Here is a 17580-nt window from a genome sequence, read left to right as displayed (position 1 = left end):
TAGTGTGTGTTCCAGAGCTATTCTTTACTAGACTGTTATTTTTAATTATTGCAGTAAAATAAGATAGGATAGTTTTGGTAAATAGCCACAGTGTACACCCGTCTTTTCCATGGCTTCATCTGGTCATGTGTGGTATAGGTGTACCTAGGACAGAACACTCACTGTACACGTGGGTAGATCTGAGAGGTACTTAGACACAAATTCTCTCTTCAATTTGTACTTGATTTTCACAAACAATAAAATTCCATTTAATACCTGCATTTTTGCCTTTTAATCAACAGGTTTTATGGCAATTGTGTATGAAAAATAATTTTGCACCCCAGGAAATCAGAGCTAGAATCTAAGAACAGAACAGCTGGCATCTTGGGGTCATCTTAGAAAGTTTTCTCGGTAAATAACACTAGCAATGAACTAAATACCATTTGAGAAATGTATTCTTTACAATTCAACTTTGTTTATTTTTCTAAAAATGTGAAGTGAGAAACATACATGGAGACTCCTTGAATTTCAGGCCCATGTGTCACTTATATGTGGGTGCTCAGCCCCTGTCACTGTGTCTAAGTCACATGAGACATTCAGTAGAAATACTTTTATTTTAAAAATGCATTTCTCTGATGATTAGTGACCTTGAACATTTTTTCATATACCTGTTGGCTATTTGTATATTTTCTTTGAAGAAATGTCTATTCAAGTCTTTAGGCTAATTTTTAATTACTTGTTTCTTTTTTGCTGTGGAATTGCAGGAGTTTCTTATATATTTTGAATATTAGTCTTTTATCAATTGCATGGTTTGCAAATATTTTCTCCCTTCCATGGATTGCCTGTGCACTCAGCTGATTTTTTTCCTTTGCTGTGGCAGAAACTTTTTGGTTTGATGTAGTCCCCTTTTCCATTTTTGCTTTTGCTACCTGAGCTTTTTGTGTGACATCCATGAAATCACTGCCAATACCAATTTTAGAAATCTGTTCACCTATGTTTCCTTCTAGACTGTTAGTTTCAGATCTTATAATTAAAACCACAAAGACATTACCTCACACCTGTCAAAATGGCTATCATAGAAAAAGAGAGAGACACTAAATGTTCACAAGTATGTGAAGAAATTGGAAGCCTTTTACACTGTTGGTGAAAATGCAAAATGATGCAGCCACTATAGAAAAAAGTACAGGGATTCTTTAAAAAATTAAAAATAGAATTATCACATAATGCAGTCATCCCACTTCTGAGTATTTATCCAAAAGAATAGAAGTCAGGATCTTGAGGCGATATCAGCACTCCTGTTTATTGCAACATTATTCACAATAGTTGACCACTGAGAACAATGTAAATGTCTATCAATAGATGAATAAAGAAAATGTGATATATATATCTATATAGCTATAAATATATAGTTATATATACATAAATACACTGTATATATACAGTATAAAATATACTACATATGTGTGTGATACACACACGATGAAATATTATTCAGCCTTAAAAAAGAGAAATTCTGTAATATGTCATCATATGGATGCACCTTATGTACTTTATGCTAAGTAAAAAATGCCAGTCACAGAAAGACAAATACTGCTTGATTTAGCTTACATGAGGTAACTGAAGTAATCAAATTAGAATTAAAAAGTGGAATAAAGATCACCACTGCCTGGAGGTAGGGAGAAAAGGGGAGTTACTAATGAAAGGGTATAAAGTTTCAGTTAAACAAGATGAGTAAGTTCTAGCGCTCTGCTGTATGATGTCGTACCTATAGTCAACAGTACCGTATTATACCCTGAAAATATGAATATCTTTATTCTAAAAACTGAGATGATACCTCTTCCCATTCCCATATTCTCTGCCCAGTTTTTTATAATCTGATTATGTGTCTTTCTCTTTGTAAATAATATATATTTTTAAAATTATTTTATTCAGGTGGCTATTTTCTGATCCTAAAATACTCTGCGTAAATTTGGAACTAGTAAGTCTCTTTTGTTCCATAAGTGTTGATGGTTTTCTGGGAAAAAAAAAAATCTTTTCACATGCTTGCATGGATTAAACCACTTTGCCATATCCTTACTAAATCAGGTCCTTCTCCTGTAATCCACCTTATTAATCTGTGATCAATATTGGAGCTATTACATGTCTGCAACAGAAGTAAAATTGAGGTACATCAGCTGATTCATCAGGGACCCATTGTAATAATCCAGGAAGTCTAATGTTTAGATGAATGATCAAATACTTATTTTAGTTCAATTTAAATCATTTTTAATGGAATTTGATATAATTTAATAATAATGTTAGAAGCTGAAAGACAACCTGTTCTGTAGTTGGCATTCAAAACAAATTATTGAATGAATGAATATAAATAAATGTAAAATTACTACTCAAAATTCAAGAAGACTTTTTTAAATAAAAAAGTAGAATTTTAATAATACCCTAAATCACATTTTAGAATTATATATACACAGAATATTATTTTACTCAATGGAAATCTAGAAAAATGTAAATATGATCTATTTCATTTTAGAAATGACCTATACATTTATAATTTTTTCAGTATTAACTGGTTTTTCCAATACAGTTTATCTGTGGTAATAGTAGCCCTTTATAATACCAAGATAAAACTACAGAATTAATTGTTATTTGTCGAAAAAGGCAGCTATCAGAAAAAGAAACAGCATGTGGCAGCCTTCATAATTTAGAAGCTCACAGAACCACTTTAATGGAAAAACTACTCGTGCTAACAGGCCTAACAAACTGGACTAACATCCTTTTTTCTAACACTTCATTTAGCCCTGGGTCATGTTATAATGGTCAATTGACTTTGAACACTGAAGTTATTATACACTAAATATCCAGGGATTTTTTTTCCTGCTAAGTAGGTATTGATTATAAATTACTCTGAAGGTCAGAAAAAAAAGTGTACAACTCAGAAGTAATTGAAAAAAAAAACAACTACTTGAAGAAAGTAATCAATAGCACATGTGCTACCTACTGCTTTCCTAATCCCACAGGCAAAAATCAACATATGATCCACAAATTACAAGTTAACAATCAGTGAGCCTTATACTTAATGTTTGTAGCTTATGTTGTTTAAAAATCCATCTTGCCTCTATTTTTTTTATGCAAAAGCTTCTACATGGTTAAAAACCAGTTTTCATGGAGACAATGAACAAATGTTTACAGAATATTTCCAGATATGTAAAAACGTCTACATGACAAAAATGTTATAGGAATTCTAAAAAGAATGAAGGAATGAAGTCATTTTGAAAATTATTGTTCAAAATTGCCTTTGTTTTAATATGCATATACCAAAGTGCCTTTTCCTCATTCTACTTTTGCCTCTTTCCAACTTCTTCCTTTCTTATTCAAAAGTTTCCTTCCTGTGGCCAATTTTAATGCTCAATGTTAGAAAAGAGTTGAAGACAAAATAAACTTGCTAACTCTCATAACCTATGTTACCTTGAATGTAAGCTTACTTTATAAGCTATATGTTTGCAAACATACAACTAGTTGAGACTCTGGTTTCTACAGTTCATCCCTGCTGAAACATTTCTGAAATCCAAGGGTTTGACAAAAATGTAAACTTGCAACCTAGATAATAAAGAGGAGATCAGATAAGGAAAACATAATACAAGAATTAAAGAAAAATAGTAGTGATGCTTTTAAATTTTAGTTAGTTCTAAATGTATTTGAAAGATATATTAATTAAAATATGAACAAATAAATTTAAAATGCTAAAATATCTTGTGTGACACAATTCAATATGCAGGTTGTGAAATCATTGCCAGTGCTATTAATTTTCCTAGCAAACTGGCAAGAAGAAATGGTAGTTGTTGAGACTACATATTCCATTCTTCGCTTAGCTCTGGGAGCTGTGGTCCTGGTTTTCAAGAGACAGGTATATTGCATTAGTTTGTAAGAGCTGTCATCACAAAGTATTACAGACTGAGGGATATAAACAGCAGAAGTGTACTTGCTCATAGCTCTGGCGACTAGGTCAGAGATCAAGGTGTTGGCAAGGTTTGTTTCTCCTGAAGCCTTTCTGCTTGACTTACAGGTGCCTGCTGTTTCCTGCACCTTCGTATGATCTTCCCTGTGTGTCTGTGTCCTCCTAATCTCTTTTACTTATAAGGACACCAGTCATATTGGATTAGGGCTCATCCTAATAATGTCATTTACCTATTTGCCTCTTAAAGACGCTATCGCTAAATACAGTCACATTCTATAGTATTGGGGGTTAGGTCTTCAATATATGAATGGGGAGCATAATTCAGCCCGTAATATGTGGTAATATAATAATTTCTATAATTGTTTTTATATTTTGTATATATTTAAGATGTACAACATGATGCTTTGATATATTAGGTTGGTGCAGAAGTAATTGTTGTTTTGCATTACTCTTTTTTATTATTATTATACTTTAAGTTTTAGGGTACATATGTACAACGTGCAGGTTAGTTACATATGTATACATGTGCCATGTTGGTGTGCTGCACCCAGTAACTCGTCATTTAACATTAGATATACCTAATGTTTTGCATTACTTTTAATGGCAAAAACTGCAATTACTTTTGCACCAATGTAATACATAGCAAATTGATCAATAGTCAAATTAGCACAACCATTGCCTCCATAGCTACCTTATTTCTGTTAGTAAGGAAAAAGTAACTAAGGTCTACTACCTTAGCAAATTCCCAGTATACAATACAGATTGTTAACCATAGTCCCCATGGTATACATTAGAAATCAAGACTTATCCTGCATTACAGCAGCTTAGTACCCATAGAGCTACATCCCCCTGCCGCACCCCCATATCTCTGTTCTTGGCAACCACTGTTATACTCTTCTTATTACTTTTATTTCCTTTATATATATCATTGGTTATATAGAAATATGAAAAAGTCACTAATTTGAGTATGATGAAAATAGAACTCAATCTTTTGATAAGTTATTTTTAAAAAATCCAAACAGAACTATAATCTGCTCTGATATGGCTATGCATGGTTCTGACTAACTTTCATAAGGATAATAGCAAGTATTTAAAGATGGAACTTGTTTCTGAAATGTTCGTAGCATTGGTGACACCAACCATTTGTATTTTCATCCTTATTTATCAGCATAGCATCATATCACTTATTTATACCTTCTTAGTTCAATGAAGGATACAGGCTGGAAGCCACAGCCTGCAGTTCTAGTCACACTCACAAAAGCATACCAGAAATACAAAGTAGTGTTTCCAGAACATGGAATGTACATGGAATAATTAGAAACTAATGATTGTAACCCAACATGAGAAATGCTAAATTTCTGTGAAAACAGACTACACTATGGCCTTCCACCTTGTCATCAGCCTCCTGTGTGAAACTTCAGACACATTTCTTAATGCAGCCTCACTTTAGATGAGCAAGATTCTTGTGAAAGGAAAAGGCATGTCCCACACTCACCTGCCAGCAACATTCACTATTCCTGAATTACCAAAAAACCCACCTTCCATATTCTGGACTGTGGTATCAAACCTAAAAACAATATGAAGAATTAATATTTATAAACAAAAACAGCTTGGACTAACTGTGCATTGCAGCATAATTAAGTATACTTTTCTAAAACATTAAATATTTTGCAGATAATCAGTTACATGTGAAAATGTAAAAGATATCAACAGTTATGCCATACAATGCTAAAAAGTAAGTGCAAATACACATAAATCATGATTTCCAGTACTCAGTATTAATTTAAGGAAATATGAGAATTGGGAAAATAATTTTATAGACTGAGAAATACTTTTTCCTCTCAAACTTTCTAGACCATCAGAATGGGATTAATTTTTTATTTTCCTTGTTACCTAGAAGTCTTTAAAGATTTAATCTCTGTTGTTGTTTTTTTTTTCAGAAGATAGATTACTTGAGCAGTGAATTCAGACCAGGAAAACCAGCCCCTCACTTTATCTATCTATATTTCATTTCTGTCTGGATTGACACTGACACCTGTCCTTTCCATAACCACTGAAAATTCATTATTGAGACCTGCAAAGTCACATGTTTGAGTTTACACTGTCAGCCTCGAGAGACACTCTCTAGTGAATCCCATGACCTTCAAATGGCCAAAAAAAAAAAAGGATTCGTTTTTTATCTTCCTTCCACATCACCCCTAAAAAGGTGTCTTCCAAAATTAATCTAATTAAAGTTTAGAACCCATCACCAAAATGCCAAAACTGCAGTCTTCTGCAGTCTTCTAGAGTTCTCTAATCAATGGTTTGAGAATTAAAAATAAAACAACACAAAATATAAACAAATCTAAGAGGAAAAATGGAGAGTTAATGGGTGCAGCACACCAACATGGCACATGTATACATATGTAACAAACCTGCACATTGTGCACATGTACCCTAAAACTTAAAGTATGAAAAAAGAAAAAAAAAATCCTCTTGTTTAGATCTAATTCTCCTGTTGGCCTGAAATTTCCTTCTTTCAGGTCTTCACAGCATGTACTTCTGATCCTCATTGTGCCCTAATGAGAGCCCTTTGTTAAATTTCTGATTCCATTTTCAACCAAGGCTTATCTTATCACTGAACTGCACCCCTGTGGAGAAAGAGACATTTCCCACAGAGAGGGGCTCATCAAGTATCTATTGAACTCAAGTACTGGAATTGCTGTGGGTCTGATGGACAGATAATGACAGAGTTATCAGAACATAGAGAATACTTGTCTCACAGGGAGAATGGAACTTTGAGTCAATCCTCATAAGAAAGATGAAGCTGACATTACTCATGGCCTTTACTCTCTCTTCTCTATGGAATACCTCTACGCTGACACGAAGGCATTATAGAGAAGGTCGCCATCCGGCAGCCACCATCCAAGAGACATTTTGGCATACTAGCGTGAATCATTGACAGAAAAACAGGAGTCTTGTTTGTTATTTGTCTTCAGAAACTTTCTACAATCTTAGCAAACATACATTTTAATATAAAGTTAGGAAAGAATTGCAGACTCTAAGTGTAGTGCACATCTCTAAAATAGTTCACGGAAGAGCCACAGAGGGAGACTGTCTGGCACGGTGCTGAACAATGAGTCAAAGCTGGTAACGCAGTTGCTACCCGGTCCCTCATCCACCAGCTCTGATGTCTGAACATACTGTTCACCTGTCTGTTTCAAAGAGAGAGAACAACTCTCCAAAAGAATGGGTCATTTGACCAAAGCATTACTGAGAGGTAACTAATAGCAAAGTTGTTCTAGGATAGATGGAGTAAAAGGTTTTCATCAAAAGTTTCATTTTAAAACCTTACCCAGCAAATTTATGTTCTTATTGCAATTTGGTTTCTCACAATCAGATGCTGAGTTGGAGTCTGGGGTACAAATGGGAATTAGGAGTCCGACTTGTGAAAGAATGGGGCAGTAGCAGGATGGGGCAGGGGGAGAAGTTGATCTGTAGAAGATTGACAAAGTCTCAGCCAACCCAGCCAGGAACTCTGGAACAAGTAGTACTTTCAGGCCTAAATGGTGGACCTCCATGTAACTGCCTTCTTCAATCACCGGGGTTGCCCCAGAAAAGTAGACATGAGGCGAGGCTTATCTCCACAGCTGAGGCATAGCCTGAAGGAACTGGCTCCCACACTCTGCCATCCACACTCCTTGTAGCTGAGCAGCAAGTGCTTGCTTAAAGGAAGATCTAGGAGGTTGTATTAGTCAGCATTCTCCAAGAAGTAAAACCAACAGGACAGAAATAAAGACAGACAATAGATACATGTATAGACAGAGAGATAGAGATAGAGGGAAAGATAAAAAGATTTATTATAAGGTATTGGCTTATGTGATTATGGAGGCTGGGGAGTCCAAAACCTGCAGTGTGGGTCTGCAGGCTGAAGACCCAGCAGAGCCAATGGTGCAGATAAAATCCAGGAAGGCCAGTCTCTGTTATATTCAGGATATCAGCTGATTGAATGAGGCCCACCCACATTATGAAAGGCAATTTGCTTTACCCAAAGTTTACCAATTTAAATGTCACTCTCATCTAAAAGCACCCTCCAAATTGACATGGAAAATTAACCATCACAGAGGTTGGTGTTGATATCTGTATTGATCACATTCTTCCCAAACCCTTTTGCTAGGCATCCACATCTTATGTTGTCACCCTCTCACCTCATGGAGTGTTGAGATGTGTTGTCTCAACATCTTTAATACACAGAAAGTCACTTTTCTTCAAATTCCAAGTAGGTGACAACTGATGGGACACACCTGCCTAAGGCAATACAGAGGCCACACTGAACATTCTCTTTTGAGTCTCACCCCAACACCCCAAGAGGCGTATTGACACATTGTTTCCAAATGCTATGTCATTATTCTGAGATCTCTGATAAATTTGATACTTTCCATTCCCTTATAATTATGTGTAATTTTTGTAAAAAAATAAGCAGAACAAATAAGTAACTTCACTTCTGAATATAAGCCCCAGCCAAACCTCTCAGTCAAAAGCTGTTACAAGGACTCAGCAGTGGCAGGATGACTTGGACGTGCTGGGCAGAGCCTGCAGTTTCAGGGCACCTGCTTCAGCCAGTAGAAGGGCAGGGATCGCATTGCATCTTTGGCCAGCCGTGAAGTCCAGATGGACCATGGAGGTGATAAATTTTTAGAGTCACTTTGGAGTGTCACATGAATTTTAGGATATCAGGAGACTACAGGATTTCACATATTTGAAATATTATAATAAGGCAAAATCATTTCAGGTTTTTGAGACCAAAAATCATTCCTAACATCTGGAGTTCTTTTCACCACAGATCAGCCCAAATCTCAGATAGGCGCCTTCTATTGTCTGTAAGGATGCTCTCCTTCTCTCGTTCATCCCAAGGACAATTTTGTCTCTGACTCCCACATACGAACTGGGGCCACCAGGCACTTTTTCTTGAGGTGTATGTCCTTAACTCAATTAATTTTATGAGAAATCTCTAAGAAATATGTGTTCAAAGAATTCCTTAATCTTAGAGAAAGGAAATGAAAAGAACATCATGACCACATACCATTCAAAATAATAGATAAAAAATAGTAAATTTCATCATATACAGAGGTTAAGCTTCAGTTTCACCTTGGGATGATTTGGATCTGTCTCTCATCTACGTCCATTCTGAGAAGTCGAGAACCTGAGGGGCAATCAGAAATAAATAGAGTGACCCAAAATACATTTTAAGGCATTAATTGTTGAAGGGAATATAGTCTTGAGTAACTCTGATGAATAAAACATTTAAAGTGATATTCAAGAAAAGTATAGAAAAGTCAAAGAAACAGAATAAAATGTCCAAAAATAGACCCACATTTACTTTGACAATTAGCTTTTAACAGAGATTTCCAAGATATGTAACGAAGAAAAGATTTTTTAACAAATAGTGCAAGAAACATGGCTATCTATATGGGTAATATTTGCCTCAACTTCTAACTCACACCATACGTATATAAATCAGTTCAAGATGGATCAGATAGCTAAGTGTAAGAACTAAAAACTGACACCTTTTTAAAGAACGCATAGAAGAATGTCTTTGCAACATGGAAGTAGGCAAAGTTTTCTTATAAAGGCTATAAAAAGCACCAAATATACATATATATTTCAGATAAATTGAAGTTCATCAAAATTTAGCACTTCTGATCTTTGAAAAATTATTTTAACACAAAAAAGCAAGCCAGAGTTTAGACAAAAAATATTTGCAAAGCACATATCAGATGAAGAACTTGTATCCAGAATATTGAAAGAATTTCAACTACTCAATAAGATTAACAACCACTCAATTTAAAGATGTGTGCATTTCAATGTGTTAAATTTTTATCTCAACAAAAGAAACATAAAAAAATCAGAGTCAAGTTGTGAGGGTTGAGAGAAAAAAAAGTAGCACTGCTGTAGTGTAGGTCTGAAAGCTCACCAGAACCTGTAATACCATGTGTGAAATGTTCTAATATTGAAGCCACTTAAAATATTTGATACATGGGAATTACCTTCATGCACATCCTACATACTACCTGAAGTTTAACAAACTCAACACGTTTGCACCTGCCTTTGCATTTGCTCATTCCATTCCTTTTCTTTGGAATACCGACTGTTCCCTTCCTTCTGTCTGCTAAAATCTGTTTTATCTTCAAGACCTGTCTCAAGTATCTCTCCTGGGCATTCTCTTGAATTATTGTCCTTGAGAATTCTAAAACAAGCATTGCACCCATTCTCCAGAATTTATTACTTTGCCTTTAGAGAAGGTATTTGGACCCAAGTTTCTCCTCTCTCACTTTGAAGCCTTGCACATTCTGTGTGTCCCTACCTGGGCCTGACACACGGTTGCTACTTGAGATATTTTCTGAATGAATCAAAGAAATGGAATACAGAGGTTGGCAAATTTGCTTTGAAGGTTTATTGTTCATAAAGCATATTTATCAGCATATTTCCTCATGCTGAATAGCTCTGCCACCACTTCATTTGTTTATCCTGGTCCCCTAGGTCTATACACTGGTTCTCCCCCTACATATAAGAAACGTGTTTCTCCTCCATGATGTTGCTCATCCTGTTGTTTCATGTCTCTCCACATCCTTTCTCAGGCCAGTTTTATTGTTAAAGTTATTCCATAGATCAATACCCTGGACAAGAGAAAGTCCTTGTCAAGAGACTGCCAGTTGAGTGTACAAATAACAGATAAATGAATTTCCAAAGTTATATCTCAGAGCAAAAGGTGACTTTGGGCAGTTGCCCAAAGGAAAATACCAATAAACCGCATTTAGCCACCTCACAAAGCACCGTGATTATTCGTTTGGATCAGAAAACATGAAGTGTCCATATCAACCTATGGATATTACAGTTATAAACACTGTCACAGAAAAGACAGTGGCATAGTTTTCAAATTACCAAGGAGGTGAGTCAGGATTGTAAGCATTATGCACAAACTTATATCCCGTGTTTAATAGGAATCTGGAACATATGTCTCAGAGATGTTCTCTTTGATCACATTCCTAAAGGCGGGTTATCAGCTCAGGGAGGTCAACTCTGGGGCACTGTCTGATTTCATGCACAGCCTAGAAAAGCTTCAGCCACTGCCCATGGTGTATTCTCTTAGGATCCAAATCACTGAAACTTGGGCAAAAGCAAGCCAGTAATGAGCGCGAACAAGGACTCAGAGTCAAACATCTTGTCAAAGCGCCACACTTGTGAGCCTCACTGTATTTATAATGACAAATCACACTGGTATGACAGCTAGACAACTGATCAATGTCCTGTTATTTCTGCAGTCAGGGGAAAAATCACTTAATTATATGTGTAATGAGATTAAGACATTCAGGAGGTGAGGTTTATGTGCATTTGAACTATAAATCAACTTTACTTCTTATGCTAGAAATGAAGTAAGTCTGATCTTCATTGACAAATGTAGATTTTACTGTTGCTTTGACTTTGAAGATTACAGCGAAATTCATCAGTTTCAAAGGGAAAGGAAAACTTTTGTCTGTCTTTTTAATCTCTCAATAAATGCAGCATTTTTATTTTTCCTTTTACATATAAAGAACCAAGATTAACAGTGATATCTTTTGTGAGAAATACTTGTATAGAACAGTGTTTTCCAACCTGTCAAGAGAAGTTCTGAGATCTTAAATTCTTAGTTTGGAAAGTTCCATGGCTTTGCTTGGAGCAACCATGGTTCACACCAGGGACAGTGATGAACCTGTGGTTGTAACTCATGTCAGATCCCATTTCTGTGCCTTGTGAAGTCTCTATAGTCTTCACCCTGAGAGTCTGAACATACAGACAACAGTCAGACCATACATAAAAACAGAAATCAGACCAAAATTCTGGAGCAACCTGCAGAGGACACCAACTCATTATTGACAGTAACCAACTCAGGGAAGCAGCCTGCTCCCTAGAAGTCAGACTTGGCAGGGAGTCAGACCACTATCTGCATCTTCTCTGTTGGCAAATTGTGACAAATTGCTGTAATTCCCTTATCAGGAATCAAAAAAGTGAGAATTTAAATGACCCATCCAACATCATTACCACAGTGGGTCACAGTCATCCAGTATCACAGTAAACCAGCCAAAACTTAACCACACAAATTCATGTGCTTGTGTCAGACTGTGCTTTGCAATGGAATTATGAGGGCAGTAGTATCACCCCATTTGGTAAGTGTGGTGGCTTGACAGCTTTCCCAACTCCAGTGCAGGGACTCTGTATTAAATAGCTGTCCATAAAATTGCTAGGATTTCCTGTAAAAGTTGACTTGTTGTTTAGGAGACTAATGATACCACCAATTTGATATTATCTGGTCAATATTAAACACTGTTTTCTTTAAAAAGTGTACCTTTAATTGTAGATATGAAAATATTCCTTGATCCACATTTTTCTTACAGAGAGTTCTCAAGATGAATTTTCTTCTATTATTGGTCCATAAGAGACTAAATATCACACTCTTAAATTTCATTATACTATAAGAAAGTCACTTTAATTTTTTTTTTGGTCCTGATAATTCTCTTTTCTATGGAAGGAGTGGAAGAAAATAATATCTAAGTTTTTATTTGAAGTTTTCCAGATTTGGCGTAAGGAATAAAGGAGGGAAGAAGTAAAGTGTATTAGTCCGTTTTCACACTGCTATGAAGAACTACCTGCGACTGGGTAATAAAGAAAAGACATTTAATTGACTCACAGTTCTGCAGGCTGTAGAGAAAGCATGGCTGGAAGGCTTTGGGAAACTTAACAATCATGGCAGAAGACAAAGGGGAAGGAAGCACATCTTACCATGGCAGAGCAGAAAAGAGGGTGAAGGGGGAAGCGCTACACACTTTTAATCAACTAGATCTCAGGAGAACTTCATCACAAAAACAGCAAGGGGGAAGTCTGCTCCCATGATTCAAATGCCTCCCACTGGGCCCTTCCTTCAACATGTGGGGATTTCAATTCAATAAGAGATTTGGTGGGGATATAGACCCAAACTATATCAGGAAAGATGTAATGCACTTGGATAAAATGAAGAGAGAAATGCGTGCTAAAGTCTCTTATGTGTAGTATCCATTAGGAAAACTTTATGATTACTTTACAAGCCCCTGGGGCAGGTGTTAATATTAAATAATGAGAACATACAGTAGGAAGCCTGATTCATTGTGATCTACCTGTCAACACTGTTGGGAGGTTAAAAAAAATCTATGCAATAATTTAAAGCCAAGATAGCTAGACTCTCTAAAGCCTTACATGATGTGATTTATCTTCAAATTCTCTTTCCAATTAAACATGGTAATGGTTGAAATTAAATAGAAGCCTTAGAGGATAGGAGGTGATTTTGCCCTTAATATAATCTTAAAGGCAAACATCCTGGATGTTCCAGTTGCCACTAGTCCTTTGCTAAGATCAAACACATCACACATGTGAAAGAAAACATTGTAATTTCATGAAGCTGTTGTGTAAAGCTTATAAATAATTGCCAACAAAAATACAGACTGATGACTACACAGATTTCTTGTTTTCAGAGATATATAGGAGATTTCAAAGTAGCAAATATAGAAGAAATGATTGACTGTTCCCGCTCTTAATCCTTTAGCCTACAGAAATAGTTCCTTAATAAATAGAAGACCTGAAAGCTGCAGTGTGGGTAACTGTCTCTTGTTAGGTTTGATCACTCTAAATTTACATCTTCTGAAAATATCTTGGAACCCTGGGAAGAGGTTTACAATTCAAATGTTATTTTAAAATGTGCTACAACTGCAGGGAAAGAGGCTGTCTTTAGGATCTCCATCTGCTACCAAGTCCAGCTCTGCCAAACATCTCAGTGGTGTACAGTGTGCACACTTCTTCAGGAAAGCGTCTGCATTTTATTTGCCTGTGCATGCACAGAAATAACCTGGTGTCTGGCATGGAGCTGGTGATCGACAAATCTCTGTGTAGTAGCAGTTCTTGAAGACAAGGTGCATTCATATTTCTGGGACTGTTAGAACAAAGTACCACAAGCTAGGTGCTTTCAAACTGCAGAAGTTTTTTGTTTCATAGTGCTGGAGGCTAGAAATCAAAAATTAAAGTGTTGGCAGGGCCCTGCTCCTTCTGAAAGCTGCAGAGGAGAACCTTTCTTGAATTTTTTTTTAGATTCTGATGGCTGCTGGTAATCCTTGGTGTTCCATGGCTTGAAGTTCGATGACTTCAATTTCTGCTTCTGTCACCAGATGATATCTCCCTGTGTGTCTGTGTCCAAATTTCCCTGTTTTCATAAGGACACTAGTCATATTGGATTAGGGCCTATGTTCATCACCTCATCTTAACTTGATTATGTCTACAAACACCCTATTTTCAAATGAAGTCACATTCATGGGTACTGGGATTTGGTACATCAAATTATTTGGGGGGAGGGAATAATTCAACCCATGACATAAGGCATTGTGTCCTCCACATTTTTATTCTATCTTCTTCATGCTAATATGCTGAACAGCTACGCGACTCACAGGAAATGTGATGGTTAACAGCTGGGTGTGCACATTCTCCTTGGCAGCTGAAAAATCATGAGATCTATAAATTTGGAAAGAGAGCTTTATTTCTTAAAAAGGGTTACTGCCTTCAAGGTGACCATTCTAACAGTCTGGGAAATGTATCCTCCAGCACAGCCCGCAAGTTAGGCACTTAGAAGGAGGAAAGGTATGACAGAAACGTATGCTGAAGAGGTTAGCTAAGTACACATATTCAACACATCATAGGAAAAGCTATGAATAATCATAAAGGGGAGGTTGTGCATATGTGTAATAAGAAAACATACACGCTACATGCATTTCATGTTCACCTTGCAGTGGAGACAACATTTAAATGTATCACAGCTAGGCCCTATAAGCCTAAAGGTCTTTTCAGAACACACTGGCACTCTCGTGAGCAGCCTCTGTAAACTGGCCAGAACCAGTCCCTGGTCAGTGGTGTCTTATCAAGAGAAAGTTACAGAAATTGGTCTCTTGTCCAGTCAAAGCTGTAGTTACGGCTGGTGAAACAGGGGGTCAGTTAGCCAGCACCTGGTGGTGGTTGAGCTGCAATTGTTTTAATATTGCTTTATTTCAAGACCAGTGTTTGTTTGGCTGCTGGAGAAAAAGAAACCATGTGGCAGTTAGAACGCAGTTTATTCTTTAGGTGTAGGGGAAGCATGACTTAATCCTTGCCTAGCCTGGTGGTAAGCCGTGCTTATAATTTTGTATCTTATTGCCACAAACAGTCTGTTTCATCAGTCTTATGATCCCTCTTTTAAAGTTAATGCTGCTCGATTGTTGTGTCTAAACCCCAAAGGGTGGGGGTATCATGAGGAGTATGCGACTTTCCATCTTGTCATGACCTGAGCTCAGTTTTTAGGGTTTCTCTTCGGTTCCCATGGCTGAGAGGAGATTCTTTCAGTTAGTTGCAAACCTTACAATATTATTTTTAGTTCTCATCCTTAAGCTGAATCTGTGTTTACTAAAAAGCTGAGAAAATATAGGTTATGCCATCCTCCTTCCCAATGTTCATCAAACCCGCTCTTTCTGTTTTGTTTGCAAGTGTAAGCAAAGAGAAATATGAAGCTATTGCCTTGGTTTCTTAGGGAAACCCGTATAGAGTTTTACCAAATTCTCAAAAAACAAAAGTGGGGACAGTCATACAACAAGTCAACTTGGTGTCATTCCATTGTAAGAGACTATCCATGAGATGTATTTGAGTGCTGAACATTGAAGAATCTGCTTAATTTTGTTGATGTAGAAAAATAAGAATAGTGTAAATTGGGGAATGTGCTAAAAATTTGAAATATGCCTGGCTTTAGGACTAAGGAATGTAAAGATTATCATAAAATATAAAAATCTATTTTGTGACAATTAAGAAGCATCAGGATTAGGCTAATCCATGCACACACACAAAATCCAAATTTGAAGTAAGAATGAATACATTACCTTAAGTCTAAAAATACAGTTAAGAAAGCTTTAGCTCTTACATTCTAAAATCTTCTGAGTAGAAGAAGCATACGTTAACATTTAAAGGAGGCTTTTAAAAATGCAGTTTCATTAAAACAATATTTAGCAGTCACTGGGCAAAAACCAAGTTTGACTAGCAATTCTGTGTTTTTAGCTGTCTCCAATGTGGCTATTTTGGCTGTGCATATTCAAATATAAGTTTTTGAATAAAATAGAATGCAGAATTAAACTAAGACTCTGATGAAATGTGATGTTGATAAACCATGAAGCATGAGTCACCTATATATTTTAATCCTGACACAGAAATTACAGCTAATTATGAAAAATTTGCATGGAACACTTCATATTCACAGATTGTACCAATGGCCTACCATTGGAGGATGAGAACCGTCTATAAAATTCACAGGATTGGTAGCAGATTTTCAACAATTCATAGAAACTCCTCTCCCCGGACTCCTGGGGTACTCACTGGTGGGTGGTTTGCAAGGGATGGAGGGACAGACCATGGCTGCAAAACTTAGCAAAGTTAACTGATTCCAAAGGAAATTGGTCCCACGACTAGAGCCTCTCAACTACATGCCCCTCAGAGGCACTGTCTTGGTCTTGATGTGTTGGCAACTCTGGAGGCTTTCCTGTGCCTGATATTGCATAAATGCTCAATTAGAGTTTATATAACCTGAACATATTAGCAAAAAATTGTACTTAAGATGGTGCTTGTACCTTCTGTTCTCTAAAACTCGTGCTGTGGAAGGAATTGGTTTTGTAATCAGAAAAAGTCATAATGGATCACCAAGGAAAGAGGTTATAAAAATTATATGTTGTTTCTGGGTAATTAATGAATCCCCCTTCATTTAAAAGGAGTCTGGGGCTCCTAGACAAAGGTTGAAAACTAAGTCCACATATTGAAACTCTCATTCTCTCTCATGTTTCTCACTCCAGTGGTCTGACCAGTGGAATGTAGAAAATTATATACCACAACTGGATCAAAAGATGGCCAATTTCAATATTTATTATTTTTGCCCTCACACCATCCATACTTCCATTTTCTGGTAATAATAATAATTATTTCTATTTTTCCATTTCAAAAAAATAATTTTTTCTGTGATGAATACTTACTGTTTTTGCCAACTCACATTCTCTCTAGCCTTTGTCAGGCAATAACACCTAAATTTTTCTGTGACGAATAGTTATTGTTTTTGCCAACCCAACTTCTCTCTTGCTTTTGTCAAGTAATAACACCTCAATTTTCTTTTGAAGATCAAGCTCTATTAGGGTGAACAACTGTCCCTAAGTCATGGGACTAAGGATTTTCCCAGGAGGTGGGACTTCCAGTGTTAAACCCAGGTAATTCCTACGTAAGTCTTGAAGAATAGGTGACCCCATTTCCCTGGAACATACACAGTAAGAGTGTCCATTAAACTGACCCCCTCCTCACTGCAGGAGGCAGCAGGTTATCAAAACTAGGCCAATCAGAATCTCCATCTTCTGGAAATTAAATCTTGATTATAAGATGGAAGCAAATATACAAATATTCGAAACTTTGCACCTGGAAGGGCTTGTTCATTGGGTCTCACTTCCCAGGGCCTCTAGGGTCTCTAGGCCTCTTACTTTTGAGGACTGATTGTTCAGCTATCCTTACTCAGTTCAACGAATCTCCTCTTCACTTGAATTAACCAGTGAGCATATGTCACT

The 17580-nt window shown here is 36.6% G+C and overlaps 1 annotated feature.

Moving 5' to 3' along the window:
- Positions 6188 to 6932: an enhancer, noted in NCBI's record as "OCT4-NANOG hESC enhancer chr5:8606154-8606898 (GRCh37/hg19 assembly coordinates)". NCBI's record gives its function as "activates a minimal SCP1, AML or CMV promoter by ChIP-STARR-seq in naive and primed H9 embryonic stem cells {active_cell/tissue: H9 hESC(naive and primed)}" and the evidence as "EXISTENCE:reporter gene assay evidence [ECO:0000049][PMID:30033119]".

This window comes from Homo sapiens, chromosome 5 (genome assembly GCF_000001405.40).
Source record: "Homo sapiens chromosome 5, GRCh38.p14 Primary Assembly".
In the NCBI taxonomy this organism is placed as follows: domain Eukaryota; kingdom Metazoa; phylum Chordata; class Mammalia; order Primates; family Hominidae; genus Homo; species Homo sapiens.
Note: the sequence above shows the minus strand (reverse complement) of the source record. Positions and strands in the feature narration are given on the sequence as shown.